Source organism: Homo sapiens, chromosome 14 (genome assembly GCF_000001405.40).
Source record: "Homo sapiens chromosome 14, GRCh38.p14 Primary Assembly".
Lineage (NCBI taxonomy): Eukaryota > Metazoa > Chordata > Mammalia > Primates > Hominidae > Homo > Homo sapiens.
Genome location: NC_000014.9, coordinates 23,154,473 through 23,172,891, shown reverse-complemented (window position 1 = coordinate 23,172,891; position 18,419 = coordinate 23,154,473). Strand labels below are relative to the sequence as shown.

Below are 18,419 nucleotides of genomic sequence, written 5' to 3'. Positions count from 1 at the left end.
AGGGATTAGAGCTTAACCAAAAGTAACAGTGCTGAGGTTGAGAAGCCCTGTTCTACCTTCAAACTTCAATGAAGCCCAGATACTTTGTTGTGGGAAGCTATCCTGTCTATTGTAGGATGTTTAGCAGTGTTACTGGCCTCTGCACACGAGGTGCTGGTAGCTCTCCCACCCTCATTGTGACAACCAAAAGTGTCTCCAGATACGGCCAGCTGTCTTCTTGAGGTGGTAGACAAGTTGTTCTCAGTTGAAAACCACCAAGGAAGACAAAGCCTCTCACTGTGGATGCCTGGCTCCCCAGTTGGGCCGGGAATGCTGGAGGCAAGATGTGGGTCCTTCATGGGCTTATTTGAGGGCGCAACACTCAGCCCCCCACCACCCCCAGGCTACGATGCCTGTCTTTCAGTAGCTGGTAGTTGGCTCCATCCGTTTCATTAAAAGTCCATGTGTGAACAAGTGTTTCCCAATTACCTCCCAAAACAAGCATGTACAGAGTGGGCGCTCAATAAATACCTTTTGAGATGCAATTACCTGCTGCCCGCCCACCTGCGGCATCTACAAATTACACCTAGACCAGCAGACAAATGACTCAGAGAATGTTTCACAGTCCTGGCTGTACAGTGCTGTTTTGGAGCCAAGCCTCCAAAGCAAGTCCATTGAATTCTTCTAGGGCTGGTCTCTGTCCCTACTGCTACAAATCCTAGCCATTCCTTACATTTGTTAGCGTTTCACAAATCATAAAGTGCCTCACATGTAACCTCTCCCTTGATTCCCCACAACAACCCTGTTGAGGTAGGCAGGGCAGGAACAATTACTCCCATTCTGCAGATGAAGAGACTGATTTTCAGAAAAATTCAGGTCACATAGCAAAGCAGGGACAAAGTTTCTCCTCCAGCTCTAAGTCTAGTGCCCTTTTCATGCTTTCAATAAGAAATCCAGAAGAGCAGTGTTCTGCAGTGACTTCCACATCTCAATCTGCAGAAGATGTTGACTCCTCAGGGCATGTGTCAGAGTCTTGACCTGCTACCACCCCTGAGGAGCTGTTTGTACAGTCCCGATGGGAAAGTGTAAACAGGGTGAGAGGCATGGTGAGCTTCCAGGCCTGGCGTGAAGATCAAAGCCTGGGCCCCACATGCCAGACCTGCTTTCACGCTGTTCCCTTAGTCCTGAAAAGCTCTGAGATCCTCTCAGCCACTTTGTGGAAGAAACACAAAGCAGGTTCACCTAGCTTTCTCTGGACATCATGGAAATGGCCAAAACCTCGAAGCCCCAGGAGGAGGCTGTGGCTAGATTTCAAGGCTAGCATGAGTAAGGAAGGCCAAAGCCTTTTGGATCTGAGGGTCTGTTGGGCATCAGAACTCTGTAATTCTATGCCTTAGGAAATTCTTTGATGGCTGTAACATTCTCGTGTGGACAAGCCTAGATGTGAGTAATGCTTTAATGGGAGTCACATGGGTATTGGTCTACAGATGGGGGAGTTAGTGATTATTCACGGCAAATGTGGGTTTTCTCAATTCCGGCAATTTTTCTAGTGAAGACTTGCCCATTGAGACAACATGGCTCCTTTTTAATGAAATGATTTGCTTGGTTTTTCTTTGACAGAACAAGCCAAACTGGGTTTCATTGTCCAGGCATCCTAGAATTCATTCTTCACTAAAGAAGATCTGCGTGATAAGATGATTACTTTATTAGTTGGGGAGGATAGAAGCAGGACTAAAACTCTAACCTTGAGTACCTCAGCAATACCAGACGGATGTGCGTCTCATTCTAAGTGGCTTTACAGACAATGAGTCTAAGCTAAAACATTGGAGGAAAAAACCCACAGTAATCAACTTTCTTCCTATATCTCATCAAGAAACGTGTGTTGGCCGGGCAGGATGGCTCGTGCCTGTAATCTCAGCACTTTAGGAAGCCAAGGCAGGAGGATCACTTGAGGCCAGGCATTCGAGACCAGCCTGGGCAACATAGTGAGACCCCCTCCCCCCATCGAAAAACATAAAAATTAGCTTTGTATAGTGGCACACACCCATAGTCCTAGCTACTTGGGAGGCTGAAACAGGAGGATCACTTGAGCCCAGGGGTTTGAGGCTGCAGTGAGCTATGATCACACCACTGCACTCCAGCTTGGGTGAAAGAGTGGTGAGACCCACAGCCAAGCGTGTAATCCCAGCACTTTGGGAGGCCGAGGCAGGCGGATTGCCTGAGGTCAGGAGTTCGAGACCAGCCTGGCCAACATGGTGAAACCCCATCTTTACTAATAATACAAAAATTAGCCTGGCATGGTGGCACACGCCTGTAATCCCAGCTACTCGGGAGGGTGAGGCAGGAGAATCGCTTGAACCCATGAGGCGGAGGTTGCAGTGAGCTGAGATCGCACCACTGCACTTCAGCCTGGGTGACAGAGTGAGACTGTCTCAAAACAAAAAAAAAGAAAGAACGAAAGAAACAGAGACAGGAAGGAAGGAAGGAAGATAGGTAGGTTCATAGTCAAAGTAGAAAAGCCTTTTCCCAGTTCGTCTTTTTCAAAGCCACTCCAGGAAAGTCTCACTTAGACAGTGTCCAAGTTGAAAAGCCCAACTGGAAAAGTGTCTGTTGTGCAGTTTCCAGAGGGGAGGCAGCATGGAATCATGGAGGAAAGTCTGGACCAGGAGTCCAAGGACTTAGCTTCTCATCCAGGCCTTGCTACTTATGCAGTGCATGACTTTGATAAAGTCCCTTCACCTCTCTGAGCCTCAGTTTTTGCAATGGTAAAATAGGAATGATATGACCTGCCCTCTGCACCTAAGAAAGTACTTAGGAGATCAAGTAAGGTAATGGATATCAATGTTTTATAAATCCCCACTGAAGGTGGTACTGCAATAGAAGGAAGGAATCAGATCTGTGTTCCAACTCTTCAATAAGTGCCTCCTGTGAACCATTCCCATTGCCTATGAAGTACAGCATAGAAGACTGACCCCAGTGTATTAGGAAGACCTTTTATTATCAGGGAAAAGCTGGAGGCTGTGACAGAAGATTTAGCTTCCGGTCCAGCTACAACAAACTCACCCTATGATTTAGGCAAATAACTGCCTTTCTAGGTCTCAGTTTCTTCATCCATAAAATAGGGATAATAATACCGTCATTTTTCCCACTTGAAAAATAGGAATAATAATTGTCCTACTTTCTTCCCCTATAAATTGGAGATGGTAGGCCAGGCGCAGTGGCTCACACCTGTAATCCTAGCACTTTGGGAGGTCGAGGCGGGTGGATCACTTGAGGTCAGGAGATCGAGACCAGCCTGGCCAACATGGTGAAACCCCATCTCTACTAAAAATACAAAAATCAGCCAGGTGTGGTGGCATACACCTGTAATCCCAGCTACTGGGGAGGTTGAGGCACGAGAATCACTTGAACCTGGGAGGCAGAGGTTGCAGTGAGCCAAGATCGTGCCACTGCACTCCAGCCTGGGCGACAGGCTGTTCCCTAGCACTTAGTTTATACTAGTGTAGCTCAATATTTTTTTAGCTTTTATCTTTGTAATTTTATTTATTTATTTATTTATTTGAGACAGGGTCTTGCTCTGTCACTAGAGTGCAGTGGTGCACTCACAGCTCACTGCAGTCTCGCCCTCCCAGGCTCAAGCAGTCCTCCCACCTCAGCCTCTCTAGTATCTGGGACTATAGGCGCATGCCACCATGTCTGGCTAATTAAAAAACAAAAAATTTTTTTGTTAGAGATAGGATCTCCCTATATCGCCCAGGCTGGTGTCGAACTCCTGGACTGAAGTGATCCTTCTGCCTCAGCCTCCCAAAGTGCTGGGATTACAGGCATGAGCCACCAATGCCTGGCCTATCTTTGTAATTTTAATTTGGTCAAAAATAAGGTTTTGGGGGCAGAAACCCAATTTTTATGAAGTGAGGACTCTTATTCCAATGCCGATCTACTGTGACCCTCGCAATCACTCTGGCAGCTCTCTGCCAGAGTTCTTAAAGGTTGGGGCCTCCAAGAAGCAAAGGCAAGAAGTGGGCAGTTAGTGTTGCATGTCCCATCTTCCAGTGGCTCCTGTGGCCTAGAACAAGGGAACATACTCGAAATGTCAGAGTGAAAACAGAAGAGAAGCACTTACTGATCCCTGCTGCAGTGTTTGTTTTCTACGAACCCTTAGTGGAACACTGACACTCTTCATTCCTGAGAAGATGGGATCTATTAAATAACACCCATCCTCATTTTCCCTCTTGCAACAGCCATTCTTGGCTCTAAGAAGCACCTAGCTATACACTCCTCCCTTTTCAGTACCTTAAAGACCAAAGTCAAACCTTGTTTTTCTGCTGCTATTGATTGTTTTTCTAACTCCTTGAGCTGGTTTTATAACCCTAGCTTTATTGCTGTAGTCTTGGCTGGCTTTGAAATTCCCTATGGATCGCTCTTTTGATAACTTCCTGCTAGGCAAGGAATTTACTATCATCTTTCAGCACTATTAGCAAACCTGTCTCTAGATCTCTCATTTCCCAGCACTTGATATTGTCCAGAGAACAGCAGTTTGGCAGGGGAAGAATCACTGGAAGGGGGAACGTGTCCAAAGTCCTGGAATACTACAAGCAGGTTTTGTAGTCCCTGCTAACCCAGTACTTCTGAATAGAGCATATGGGGACTGTCTGAGAGAGGAGGGCTGAAAGATGTCCTGTTGTCCTATCATAGAACTTTACATAAACTTACAAGAAGAGGAAAAGTCTGTAAAGGATTGGTGGCACTCAGAATCTCCTTTTTCTATCTTCTCTTTGCCTGATAATTATTATCACTAATTTGATGATGAGGAATTATTTCTCTTAGTTTCATTTCTGTAAGCAGCCCTGTTCTGTTGGGAAAGACTCCCAGCACCAAAATTAGGAAGACATATTTGAGACAAATATGTGCTTCCTTTTCCTCTGCATCTAACTTCAGCCTGTGCCCTCTGATCCTATATTTCAGTCTCAGGGCTAGATTGAGGTTGAGTTATGGTTGAGATCTGACCATCAGTTTTTAAAAGCTGAGCGTAGCACCTTACAATCTCCATCTCACTGGTTCCAGACCACTACAGAGAGATCACGGAGGCTTGAGATGTCCTTAGAACACAGTCAAATCCAGCTGACCTCAGGATACTCTAGCTCTGCCTTTCCACCTGGATCCATTTGGTCTCTGCTCCTTTCCTCAGGCATTTAGCAGTGCAGCTGGGCAGAGCATGAAGCAGCACTTTCAAAGCACCCACTCAATGGACCCCGATGACCTCTTTTACCACAAGAAGTGGACAGAGGAACATTTGGGAGGAAGCATGTCAGGAACGGCCTCCACACTCTTACTCCTCGTCTGCGTAACACACAACCCAGCAGCTAGCCATTCAGTACCGGCTGCGGGCCTCACCTCTCAGGAGAAAACCAGCCCCTGCACACAAGCAGAAGTGGATTAGTGGAAAGATTGCCGGATTAAGTATCAGGAGACTGACTTCTAGATCCAATTTTACCCATCAGTAGCTGTGGAATTTGGAGAAAGCCACTTAACCCCTCTATGTCTTAATCTCTTAGTTTGTAAAATAGAGAGGGAAGTACCTGCCCCTCTCCTCTCCCTGAATTCCATAAGGTTGTTTTGAGGGTCACATGAAACATTGGTGGGTAATGACCTTTGAAAGAATGCAGTACTGAGGCTTTGTATGTATTGCATTCCTACACACCACTTCTAAACCACTAGGACTGTTTTTATAGAGTTATTTTATGTTCTTCACCAAGGGTGGGGCCGTCATGTCTAGGGTAGAAGCCAGCCTCCAGGAGTGTTTTCCACACTTGTAAGTCTTGAAAACCCCCAGTCTTGGGGTATGACCGCAATCTGTCCAAAAAATATTGCCCTTTGGCTCATTTTTGAAGCCTTCCAGTGGCAGGTGGTCTCTGAAAACAGCCCACTTTTCCAGCCCTGCCATTTTCAGAGAGTCTTGAAGGCCTTGTCACTTTGGGTGGACCACGTGTCGCTCAGCTGGAGGGTCCTGAGATTCAATACTTCACCATCACTTACTGCGATGTGGACCTAGGCAACTCACTTGGTATCTCTGAGACTCAGTTTCCTCCTCTGTAAAATGTGAGAAATATCTGATTCCATAGTGTCATCCTGAGGATTAAATGAGATGTGGAAAGTACCTGACCAAGTTCCTGGTCAATAAGTGTCAGTTCTCTGCTCCTCTTTCCCCTACTTCAGGGAGAATTATTGCTAGGCACACCTGCCTGCAGATCATTTACATATATCCAAGGCATTTCAGAATCAGATCAGAAATGAGACCACCCTCCAAATGCCAATCCTGCCAACCGTCCTGTCTCTACTGTCTCCCCTCCTTACCCTTGGTGCCTCATGCAGGGAACATCATCGGCTCTGGAATCTTTGTCTCGCCAAAGGGAGTGCTGGAGAATGCTGGTTCTGTGGGCCTTGCTCTCATCGTCTGGATTGTGACGGGCTTCATCACAGTTGTGGGAGCCCTCTGCTATGCTGAACTCGGGGTCACCATCCCCAAATCTGGAGGTGACTACTCCTATGTCAAGGACATCTTCGGAGGACTGGCTGGGTAAGAGGATCTGTGGAGACCTGAATGGTCTAGGGGAAAAGGAGGAAGACATTCAGAAGGAGGTCAGATTGGAAAAAGCCAAGGCCAGGGGTTTCCAGTCTCCAGTGTGCCACGGGGTGCTAGTGAATGGAATGTCTCTTCTGCTTTCCTGCCATGGTTGCTAGTGTAGCCTTGTATCCCCTTGAGGCTCCCGATAATGATGGAGGACCAGGTTTGTAGTTTTGACCTCTATGTTGATCTTAGTGGGAAGGAGTCTATGAGTGAGAGCAAACAGAACTGTGTAACAACACTGACCATAGATTCCCAGAGAAAGCACATCACAAAAACAACGCCCTTCTATCTTGACAAATGAGAGTGGCCAGCTAAGGTAGAGTGCACCCTCTTCTCACACTACCAAGGATAATGGCCTCCCTCTAGAGCTGGGCCCTAATCTTAAATTTCCTCAATTTCTGCATCCCTGCCATTGGTAAACCCTCACCAATGGGCCAAAAGGTGTGGAAGGCGCTTCCCCTGCAAACCCCCACTTGATACCTCTCCTGATTATTGCTTACGTAACCACACCCTTAGTATGTCCTGTCTATCAACATTCTGGGGTTGCAAATTTTGTTTTTCCACCATTGGATGCTGGTGGCCACAGTGATGGAGAAGAGATCATGAAAGGAGAGGAGAGAAAGGAAGAACGCCAAGACTTGTGTTAGTGCTTGTGGAAATTTAACTCTTCATTAAACCATTTTATTGTCACTGCAGAGGGCTGGGTGTCTCATTTGTGGGTGGGGGCAGAGGCTGGGCTCTTCAGCATCCTTGAAAATAAAAAAGAGATGCATGACTTGCCCGGGCTCTCCCCTGATGGCTCTGCGTCCCTGCCATGCCTTTCGGCGGATGTCCCTTTCCTCCTTCAGGTTCCTGAGGCTGTGGATTGCTGTGCTGGTGATCTACCCCACCAACCAGGCTGTCATCGCCCTCACCTTCTCCAACTACGTGCTGCAGCCGCTCTTCCCCACCTGCTTCCCCCCAGAGTCTGGCCTTCGGCTCCTGGCTGCCATCTGCTTATGTAAGTGTCATCTGGGTCTTGGTAGCAAGACAGCCTCTTTTATTATATTTATTATTATTATTTTTAGAAACAGAGTCTTCACTCTGTCACTCAGGCTGGAGCGCAGCCGCATGATCATAGCTCACTGCAGCCTTGAACTCCTGGGCTCAAGTGATCCTCCTGCCTCGGCCTCCCAAAGTGTTGTGGTTACAGGTGTGAGCCACTGCACCCAGTCTGAGGGACAGCCTCTTTTATCCTCCCTGGAGGTCTACATGTCTCTGACTCTCCTAACTTCTCTCCATTTTTTTTTTTTTGAGGCAGGGTCTCACTCTGTCACCCAGGCTGGAGTGCAGTGGCGTGATCTCCACTCACTGCAACCTCCATCTCCCAGATTCAAGTGATTCTCCCACCTCAGACTCCCGAGTTGCTGGGATTGCAGGCGTGAGCCACCATGCCCGGCTAATTTTTGTATTTTTTGTAGAGATGGGGTTTCACCCTGTTGGCCAGGCTGGTTTTGAACTCCTGACCTCAAGTGATCCGCCCGCCTTGGCCTCCCAAAGTGCTGGGATTACAGGCCTGACCCACCTCACCCTGCCTCCTTTTCTTTTCCCCATTACTTTTCTTTCAATTTCCTACAAGTGTGTTTTTTATGAATGGATTCTGCATACAATTGTCTGGTGTTAAAAAAAAAAAAAGAAAGAAACTTAAGTAGCTCCTTGGAGGCACTATGATTTTCACTGGCAGGGTTCTTGACATTACGCAAAGCACTTTCACCTATATTATCTGATTTGGGCCTAATGACAAGTCCATGAGGTAAGCTGGGCCAGTGTTAACATTTTCCCAGAACAGATAAGGAAACAGAGAGCCAGGCAAATGACTTGCCCAGGGAGGCAGGCCACGTGGAGTGCAAGGGCTCCTGATTTCTTGTCTGTCCAGTGCACTGCACTGTGCTGGCTACTCCCAGCTGCTCCTAGGAAGATTACTCTGGCTTCTTGGCAGTAGGTCCACATCTACTTCTACCTCAACTTGTCAAGTCACACTCTTTTAACTCTCTTGGAGAAGGGTTTGTCCATGATCCCTGCCCTTGATGAGTTTTCTAACTAGGAGAAAAGCCATATAGACAGATACTGTGGTTAGGATTCAATTGCAGTAAAAATTCAGAGAAGGGAGCTAGGCATGGTGGTGTACACCTGTAGTTCCAGCTACCTGGGAGGCTGAGGTAGGAGGGTCGATTGACCCTGGGAGTTCTGGGCCACAGTGAGCTATGATTACACCTATGAATAGCCACTGCACTCCAGCCTGGGCAACATAGTGAGATCCTGTCTCTAAAAAAAAAAAAGAAATTAAAAACAACAATAACAATAAAATTCAGAGAAGGGGAAAAGATCTCTGTGGGCTGGAATAGGTTAGAGAGGCTTCCTAGAGAAGTTCTGCAGAGCCGTATTTCTAGGAAGTCTCAAAGCTTTATCTCTGATATTAGTCATCTCAATGGATTGGGGTATTTTACATCTTTAATCAAAAACTAATTTCTAAAGTAAATACTTAGATATGTTTCAGGGGCTCCACCTCTAGGGTTCACTGGGTCCCTGCCTTCCCATAGCTTCTAACACACATACACTTAGCTGAGGGCAGTGATCATCCTGGCCATATGCTTTCCCAGGTCCTGACACTTTTCCTTCTGTCCTGTTACGGGATGGGGGAGGAAGAGATCACTCACCCACCTCAGTAGCCTCTTACAGGGCAGGCAGCTGGGACCCAAGAGGCGGTCTCCTTGGCAAGTGAGCCCTCTTTGGCAGTGCTGGTCAACCCTGGGACAGACCTCCACCACCCAGGCCATTTGCAATATGGGGCCAAGACATTTGTTTGGGGGTGTATTCCTTGTGTTTGATCAGGCCTGCTCACAGATCTGGAGGCAGAGGAATGCAGGCTCCAAAACCAGGCTGCCTGCGCCTGCATCTCCAGTCCACCATTTCTAACTGCAGTGGTGAGTGCTGGGCAAAATCACTCGTCCACCCTACTGTGAGATGGGGAGTGTAATCCTAGCTGCCTCAAGAGGTCGTGGTCACAAGGACTGCAAGAGAGAAGGAAGGGGACACCCTCAGCACAGTGTTAGACACCCAGCACCCCAGTCATATCAGTCACTGGGGGTGGGCAAGATGCTGGGGCCACTTTATCCTTGCATCCTAGCTGGATCCAGAGTTGAGATGGGGAGCGGGGAAGAGCGAGGGCGTGGGAATGCAGGAAGAGTGCTGTTTCTGCCATCAGATCAGCTAATGGGAGGGTGGGAGGCAAGGCCACAGAAGTGCTAGCTACTGCTGTTTTGGTGTTTCTTTGCACACAGACAGCTTCCTTTTTCCTGCTGATGCTGCTAAAGTGTCTCAGACAAGAGGCCACCCTTACCCTTCTACTAGAAATCAAGAACCCCCGAGGCTGTTCAGTTTGCACCCTAGGAGAGGAGCCAGGCCACAGGTTGAAGAAGTTCCCAGGCAGCCAGACCCCATGGCTTTCTTTGCATTCCCCAAATCTGCCAAGGGTTTGACCTCTTGCACAAAGACCCTCCAAAGTAGTGTAGCCTTTTTGGCGTCCCCTCGGACCAGAAAGGTCCAAACTCTCCTAGGAGATAAGAACGCCACCTGCCTGTAGCCCTGCTCCAGAATGACATGTTGCACAGTCCTCTCCACAGCCTTCCCCTCACCTAGACACTGCAAGGACCAAGCCAAGGAGAAATTTAGAAACTGGCTGATGACAAAAATGACAAGACCCCCCTCCTCTATTCCTGTAGTCAAAGATTCAATAAAGCTTATCTAAGTTTGGCCTCTGCCTTCTCAGCAGAACTGCAAGGAAATTATCTCCAACTTAACAGTAGCCAATCTTGTCCTCTAAAGACAGGAATTTTCAATGTCCTTGAAATATGGGTTCAAATATTTGTCTACCTTCATAAGCAGAAAAATCTTAAATCCTTCTTATTCCCAAGCGTAGTCTTCCTTATTTCCTTTAGGGGAAATGGAAACCAGCTCCACACCTGTCCCGCTGCAGTGTCCCTTTCCTCCTAGCTGTGAAGGCCATGTGGAGCTGCCATCCCTCTGCCCGGCAGGGTGCACACGTACATGCATTAGCTATAACAAACTTCCTCTCTCCCTTTCCTTATACCTGACACTCCCAGCTGCTTTGAGTCTGTGTACAGAGGTTCTGTTTTCCGGTTTGTTGAATACTTTTTTTTTTTAATCCACTTCTATAGGCCCCTCAAATCCTCTCTTCTTTTTTTGAATTTTATGGCAGGCCATACCAGATAAGCATCCAATCCTCTCATACGGTATTCAGTAAAACAAGAACCAAGCTGTCAGGAAGGCTTGGTAGATGCTTTTTTTTTTTTTTTTTTTAGATGGAGTCTCACTCTGTCACCCAGGCTGGAGTGTAGTGGCGCCATCTTGGCTCACTGCAACCTCCGCCTCCCGGGTTCAAGCGATTCTCCTGCCTCAGCCTTCCAGGTTGCTGGGATTACAGGCATAAGCCACCATGCCCAGCTAATTTTGTATTTTTAGTAGAGATGGGGTTTCCCCAAGTTGGTCAGACTGGTCTCAAACTCCTGACCTCAAGTGATCCACCCGCCTCAGCCTCCCAAAGTGAGGCCACTGCGCCCGACTGGTAGACGCTATCTTTCATTAAATGCTGGTACTTTTTATTCCAGCACCCCTCCCACCCACCCACCTACCCCCACCATCATCCAGCCCTCCTCATCCTCTTAGCAGGGGCCAGGCAAGCCAGCTACATAAAATAAGCCCAGCCTGTGTCTCTTTTGAGAGACGCAGTAGAGAGTTCCGGTGTGGCGTAAACATATGCACATGGGGAACTCTGCTTCCTGCTGTCCTGTGGCGACATGCTGATGACTGTGAAGCGAGAGGTTTTGAGGAAAGGCCACCCTCTGTGGAGAGGTCATTGGTGTATAATGGAGGGCACTGGAGGACAGGGCACAGGGCCCAGCAGGGAGAGCCTGTGTGGTAAAGCCCGTGGCGAGGGTTTGCTGGGGGAGGGAGGAGATGAGGCCAAGTCTGGTTCCATGGTGGGGCTGTTTTGGAGGAGAACTGATGAGAAATGAAGTTGGGAGGAGCCAGGTGGTGGGGGTGGAGAGGTGGAAAGAACCTGCTGAAACTGGCTTGCCTGCCGGATCCTGAGCGGGTCGGGGAGAGGAGAGGGAGAGGGAAGGAACTGCAGACTTGGATCACACTTATGCAACTGCAGCTGCCACTTCGAGTTATTCTATTATTTAGGTCAAAGCTGATTACTCACTGCTGAGTCAGCAGAATATCCCTAGCCACCCAGCAGTAAAAAAAGAAAAGAAAAAAAAGAGAGAGAGAGAGAGAAAGTATTTTACATTTTAATTAAATAAAAAGCCTTTCTCTCTTCTCCAGAACAAGTATATTAGTGGGAGTGGAGGGAGTTAGGAGGGGACTGGGAAGTGTTAGAACTTGGTTTTGATACCTTTTGTGATCTGCTTGTGTGTTTTTCTCCTTTTGTATTATTTCATGAGTAAATGACTATATTCCCCATATAAAAGATCCAAGTAAGATATAGAGCCAGCAGCGATAGCCGCCCTTATCATCAGCCGCTGGCCAGTAGCTGCAGTCCTAGTGGATAGTTCTAAATAAAGTGCATCTATTACTGTACAACTCTGGCTGCATGGACCTATGTACTGACAGGTTATTCCTACAGCGTGCCCTTTTTTTTTTTTTTTTTTAAGACGGAGTCTCCCTCCGTCACCCAGGCTGGAGTGCAGTGGCGCGATCTCGGCTCACTGCAAGCTCTGCCTCCCGGGTTCACGCCATTCTCCTGCCTCAGCCTCCCGAGTAGCTGGGACTATAGGCGCCCGCCACCACGTCCGGCTAATTTTTTGTGTTTTTAGTACAGACAGCGTTTCACCTTGTTAGCCAGAATGGTCTCGATCTCCTGACCTCGTGATCCACCCGCCTTGGCCTCCCAAAGTGCTGGGATTACAGCTGTGAGCCACCCCCACCCGGCCTACAGCTTGCCGTTTTATCCTGTAGCCACATCTTTTGGCTGTTACCTGGGTCTCTAGTTGTAAACAAAGCATCCACAATGATCCAGAGGAAGCACTGGGTCCAGGGGACACCCTTTCCCAGGCTTCCATCTGTGCATCTGTGCAACTCTGCATTTTCCTTTGGGATCCGTTTGCTCCCCATTCTCTTGGAGACTGGATCACCTTTCATTCAGTCCCCTCCTGGCCTCCTTCCTCTCATTTGGGGTTGGAGTCATGTCCAGCACCTGAAGTGGAATCAATTCTTTTTATTCAAGTTCCCCACTTCTCCCTGAATGTCTTGACCTAAAGAAGTTCCTTCTCCTTCCTCACCCTCAGGAGAAAGAAATATCCTGTATGCATCTCTCAAGGAAAAAATGCTTCTAATCTTGTTTTCTATCTTTCTACTGAGATTCCTAAGAGGCTAGCTTTTTCCAGGGCTTCAGATAGCTCTTCTTCCTTGAGCTATTTGGAAAGGAAAGGACTTCATGTGTTGCTTCAAACTCCTGAGTTGCTTTGCAATTCCTCTGCAGAAAGCCTCCAACTGCCTGGTGCAGAATGCTGTCACAGAGAAACTCGTGAGTTGTTTTGCAAGTCTCTTGCAAATTTAATCAATCCCTTGACCTCAGAGCATTCAATAGTCTTTCCTATCATCTAAATCCCTTAACCTCAGTTTATTTTCCCTTGAGCCTTCACATTCTCTACCCCCAAACTGCTCCTCCCCAGACACTAAACATTTTCCTTCAGATACCTGGGCAGCACTGCCTTCTTGCCCTTCCCTAGTCCCCAGAGAGTTCTTCGGGTATCCGATCAGCCTCGTTTATATGAATTCAGACAAATACAGACTGGCCTACATTTGATTCCCATATATCCAAGACTCCATTTTTCTCTGTACGCCTTCTAACTAGCCAGCATTTAAAATCTAAATGTATTGAAAATCTCTTGATTTTTACTCAATGGACAGTTTGACTAACATCTCATTTTTCATTTTTATGATGCATTAAGATGAAAATTATTCTGTAAGCAGATTTTTTTTGGAAAAGAGAAAGAAACTAAAAAAATCCATCAGCTAATTACCATACTGAACTCCTACACTAAGGGGAGATAAGGTATGATTTATAGAGTCTTAGAAAAGATTAGTCTAGTGAAGAGAATCGTATGCAAAAACACATCATTACAATACAATGTGATGGGGAAAAAATGTGGGCAACACAGAGAACGGGGCTTCAAAGTTGGGAAGACAGTGCTTGGAAAGGCTCCCAGCTTGAGCTAAATGTTGAAAGGTAAGTAGATTTTATCCAAGGAACAGGGAATCACTGAAAGATTTTGAGCAGAGGAGTCACATGATTAGGTTCACATTTGGGAAAGAAAAGACTGAAACTTGAAGCAGAGAGACAAGCAGGCTAGGCATTTGTCCAGGCCAGAGAGATGGTAGCCTGAACTAAGAATGAAGTAACAAGGATGGAGAGATGACAAAAACAAGAAAGATTTAGGAGTAGAATCAGCTGGACATATTGATTAATTGACTACTAAGGGAAGGAATCAAGTTTGTCCCCAAATCAAAATGAAATACGTTTCAACTTAAATGTTCCCAGCATTGATGACAAGCAGTTAGAATGTGTTCTATGTCGGCCGGGCGCGGTGGCTTACGCCTGTAATCCCAGCACTTTGGGAGGCTGAGGCGGGTGGATCACGAGGTCAGGAGTTCGAGACCAGCCTGCCCAATATGGTGAAACCCCGTCGCTACTAAAAATACAAAAATTAGCTGGGCGTGGTGGCGGGGGCCTGTAGTCCCAGCTGCTCAGGAGGCTGAGGTAGGAGAATCACTTGAACCCAGGAGGCGGAGGTTGCAGTGAGCCGAGATTGCGCCACTGCACTCCAGCCTGGGCGACAGAGCTAGACTCCATGTCTGCCTTCCATGTCCTCCCTAGAGCCCCGAGGGGTGCTGAGCAGGTCTCTGGTTAGAACCTTCCCCAGGGTGGTGCTCCCAGGATCCTGCTCAAAATTTTGCCTGCTCTAGAGCAGTATAACTTAGAAAGGGATTGGGACTCTTGGGAAATGTTATATAAATGCAACACTTTATTCACTCAACAAACACTTATCAGTGCCCATGATGGGCTAGTTACTGTTCTTGGCACGGGGGAGACAACAATAAACCGAAAGACTCTCATTCTCATGTGAAGCAGCAGCAGCAGATTTAGCCTTCTTTCTTAACACATATTATACTACACCCACCTGTGTGTCCTCTATTGATGCCGCGGGTAATACACAATCAGTCATACGTTATTAAATATTTGAGTGTCTGTTCTGCTCCAGGCACTGTGGCAGGCATGGGGATACTTAGTTTTTGTACCAAGGAACCCACAGTCCAGTGGATGTTCCTGACAAGTATACAGGGAATTTCAGTTCAAACTGGAGTTCCAGTTCCCCAGGAGGCCAGCATCCAGGCAGCTCCTGCAAGAAAAGTGAGGATGGGACTGGGGTTGAAGAAGCTCTTGGAGAAAGTGACATGTAAATTGAGACTGAAAGACCAGTTGGACATAGTCAGGCAATATTCAGCACGGAGGGAGGGTGGAGTAGAATGGGGTGGGGAGAATGTTCTAGCAGAAGGAATTAACATGTGTCAAGGTCTGAGGACAGGAAAAATCACAGTTGTTTGTGGGAACTACAGGTTGTTCAGTATAGCCACACCATAGACTAGGAGGCAAGAAATATATAATAGAAGCAAGGACCCCATCATGAAAAGCCTCATGGGCCATAAAGAGATTGGGCTTTCCCTTAGGAGGAATGAGGTTTGAAGGGTTTCAGACAGAAGACCGACATGATCATATCTGTATTTTAGGAGAGTCATGCTGCAAAGCTAAAGGATGGATTGGTGAGGGGAATAAGATCAGAGGCAAGAAAAGATGATTACAATTCAGTTGTAAGGATTCAGATTGCAGATGACTATCATGTGCATCTTGGGGCAGTGGGAGTAGAGAAAAGTAGATGCATTTGGCATTTAGGAGGTAGAATTGGTAGGCCTTGGTGATTAAGGTTGAAGGAGTCAAGGACTGCATGGTCTTGTTGGGGATACAGGTGAAGTAAATCAAGGACAACACTGGGTCGTATTGTCTGTACGTATTGTTGTATCATCTGAATTGGTGTGGTTCAGACTGGTCAAGTTGACCCCTCTGTCCTTGTCACCCTTTCTACTCACTCTTCAACACTTAAGACTTGCTGGGACTTGAGAAAGCATCCCCTGTGCTTTTGGACTCTTATGTCTACAATGGCAGAGTAAGTAAGTTACCTGAGAAGTCAGCCTTCTTCTTCGTTTCAATGTGCTTCAACTGCTGGCCCAGATCACCTCCTCTTTCCTGATTCCCATAGTGTCTCTTCTGCTCTTCAGCTTCTACTCTCAGACAGAAGTTCTGCTGTTCAGAGAGTGTGTGTGCCCACACCCTGGAAATGGAGGAATGAGGGGCTTGTTCTGGGAATATGTCTACTTCTGATTGGAAGAACAGTGAATGAGATTGAGGTTTCCTGAAACAGGAAACTGTTTTGGAGTTCAGCTTCCACCAGGTGTGGTAGAGATTTGCCTACTTTCTTGTACCAGCCTAGAAACTTAAATTCTCTGGCCTTTTGTTGCTGACTGTCAAGGATCACTTTGTTTTTCTCAGAGGAGCCAGGGCCCATGGTTTAAATAAAGTCACCCATTAATTGTGTCTGGTAAACTTTTAAGGGTTAATGTGACACACCAAATTTATATCACATACCTAAGAACATAAAATCAGAAGGCTTATGGGAGTGAGGCCCAGTGGTACTTGGAGCTTTGGGGGAAAGAAAAAAGGGCATCTCTGTTATAAGAGTTCAGCAAGTTGTGCTCACTTTAGCGGCACATATACTAAAATTGGAGCAGTACAGAGAAGATTAGCATGGCCCCATGTACAGATGACATGCAAATTCACAAAGTGTTCCTTATTAAAAAGAGAAAAATATCCGGGCGCAGTGGCTCATTCCTGTAATCCCAGCACTTTGGGAGGCCGAGGAGGGCGGATCACCTGAGGTCGGGAGTTCAAGACCAGCCTGGCCAATGTGGAGAAACCCTGTCTCTACTAAAAATACAAAATTAGCCGGGCGTGGTGACATATGCCTGTAATCCCAGCTACTCGGGAGGCTGAGGCAGGAGAATCGCTTGAACCCGGGAGGCAGAGGTTGCGGTGAGCCGAGATCGTGCCATTGCACTCCAGCCTGGGCAACAAGAGCGAAACTCCATCTCAAAAAAAAAAAAGAAAAGAAAAGAAAAAAGAGTTCAGCAAGTTTAAGTACAAGCTACCCTTGGAATTGGGTTATAACTGAACCGTTTTGGGGGAATTTTGCAGCCTGGGTCCAGGTTTATAGAATTTAGTGAACACCAACAGAGCCTACAAGCCTTCTGGTCCAAGAACCAACTAAACCTCACAGGATCCACACCCTGTCTTCCAAGACTGAAATATGATGGAGGGTCAGGCTAGCCCTCCTGGGCTCAGTGCAGACTCAACAGAACCCATTCTCATCCACCTTGCTCCATGTCTCGGGGGACATCAGCCCTGAGAATTGGTGTGTGAGATAGCAATTTTTCAGGCCCAGGCTGAAAAAGTAATGAGTAGGATTAAAATAGGGTTCCCCAGGGTGGCATGGCAGGCCACCCTGGATTTCTTGGTGTCCAGTTTTTCGCTTCTCCCCGATCCAGGCCAGCTGAGGAGCCATGTTTAGCTCATGCTGAAGAGAGAACTACTCAGCTCTTGGAAAATGCTGAGCTGGGTATTCCTGCCTCTTGGCTGAGCTAAATACTGGGTGGTGATTCAGCAGAAACCCCAGCTCCAGCAGCTGGCGCAGGAGCTAACAGGATAAGAAGGAAGGGGAAGAGAGAGCCAGGAAGGGAGGAGGGGAGGGGATGGGGCAGTATGGGCAGGAGCTTAGCTGGAAGTGTTTGGTAAAAGCTGTGTGCCTCCAGGAGCACTCACAGCCCTCACAGCTTCTCTGCACCCTCCTCCTCTGCTGGTGTGTCCTTGGAAGAGAGAGGCCCTTCCGGAAGGCTCAGAGCACCTCCTCTCCTTTGGAGGGGGTTCCGAGATTTCTAAAACGTTGTAAGTGCTTCGAGATGAAAAGGGCTGGAGAAGGGGAAATGTTACTATCGTGCGATAGGCAAGATCTGTTTCAAAACCACACTCCCCACTGTGCACTTTATAGAAGCTGGGATCAAAGCGCAGTTTATGAGGAAGGGCTGCTTTGATTTTTTTTTTTTTTTTTTTTTGTCTGTTGTGTGGCTTTTTGTGGGTTTTTTTTTTTTAACGTTTTTCTCTTTCACCAGTCAAGTTATATGTATAACTTTATCAGACAAGTTATGTTACATGTACAATAATCCAGGTGCGGAAGGACTTTATAATGTGGGCCCCTCACCCGCTCTAAAAAATGTCTTGAGGTGGGGGTGGGCGGGGAATAGAGAAGGATTCTAGGAGGGTTCTGTGAAGCTGGATCCGTGTCTGCCCACTCCCCCACACCTCCAGGCCTCTCTGGGTCTTTGACGAGGAAAGACTGTTCCGTGTGGCCTGCGTGGGCAGAACTGGAACCTTATCAGAGCCTTGGGTTGTGTGCGTTAGAGGTCAAACAGGCCTCCGTGTTTTCTTTGCCTATCAGCGCCTTTTGGCAGCCGGCACTGCTTACCTCCTAGATCTGGAAACGCCTGCGGTTGGACAGGCCAAGCCGAAGCGGCTTTTCCACAATTAGAAACACGTGCTCAGTTCCTTCCACAAGCGGGGGAGGCGGCCAAGGAACTCGGT

General features: G+C 47.4%; 1 protein-coding gene and 1 pseudogene across 3 annotated transcripts in view, besides 1 other annotated feature; both read left to right on the top strand.

Annotated features, from left to right (window-relative positions):
* The window catches only part of SLC7A8 (solute carrier family 7 member 8), a 58,366-nt gene that overhangs the window by 10,769 nt on the left and 29,178 nt on the right, over positions 1–18,419 (top strand). The window contains exons 2-3 of one of the 3 annotated variants that reach the window (NM_012244.4): positions 6,352–6,556; positions 7,456–7,607. In NM_012244.4, the coding sequence (NP_036376.2) occupies positions 6,352–6,556; positions 7,456–7,607 (357 nt within the window). Of the gene's footprint in view, positions 1–6,351; positions 6,557–7,455; positions 7,608–17,433; positions 17,727–18,419 lie in introns of those variants that run through there. The other 2 variants (NM_001267036.1, NR_049767.2) reach the window with 2 other exon arrangements.
* Positions 357–858: an enhancer, noted in NCBI's record as "H3K4me1 hESC enhancer chr14:23641243-23641744 (GRCh37/hg19 assembly coordinates)". NCBI's record gives its function as "activates a minimal SCP1, AML or CMV promoter by ChIP-STARR-seq in naive H9 embryonic stem cells {active_cell/tissue: H9 hESC(naive)}" and the evidence as "EXISTENCE:reporter gene assay evidence [ECO:0000049][PMID:30033119]".
* RNU6-1138P (RNA, U6 small nuclear 1138, pseudogene) lies at positions 16,478–16,583 on the top strand (annotated as a pseudogene).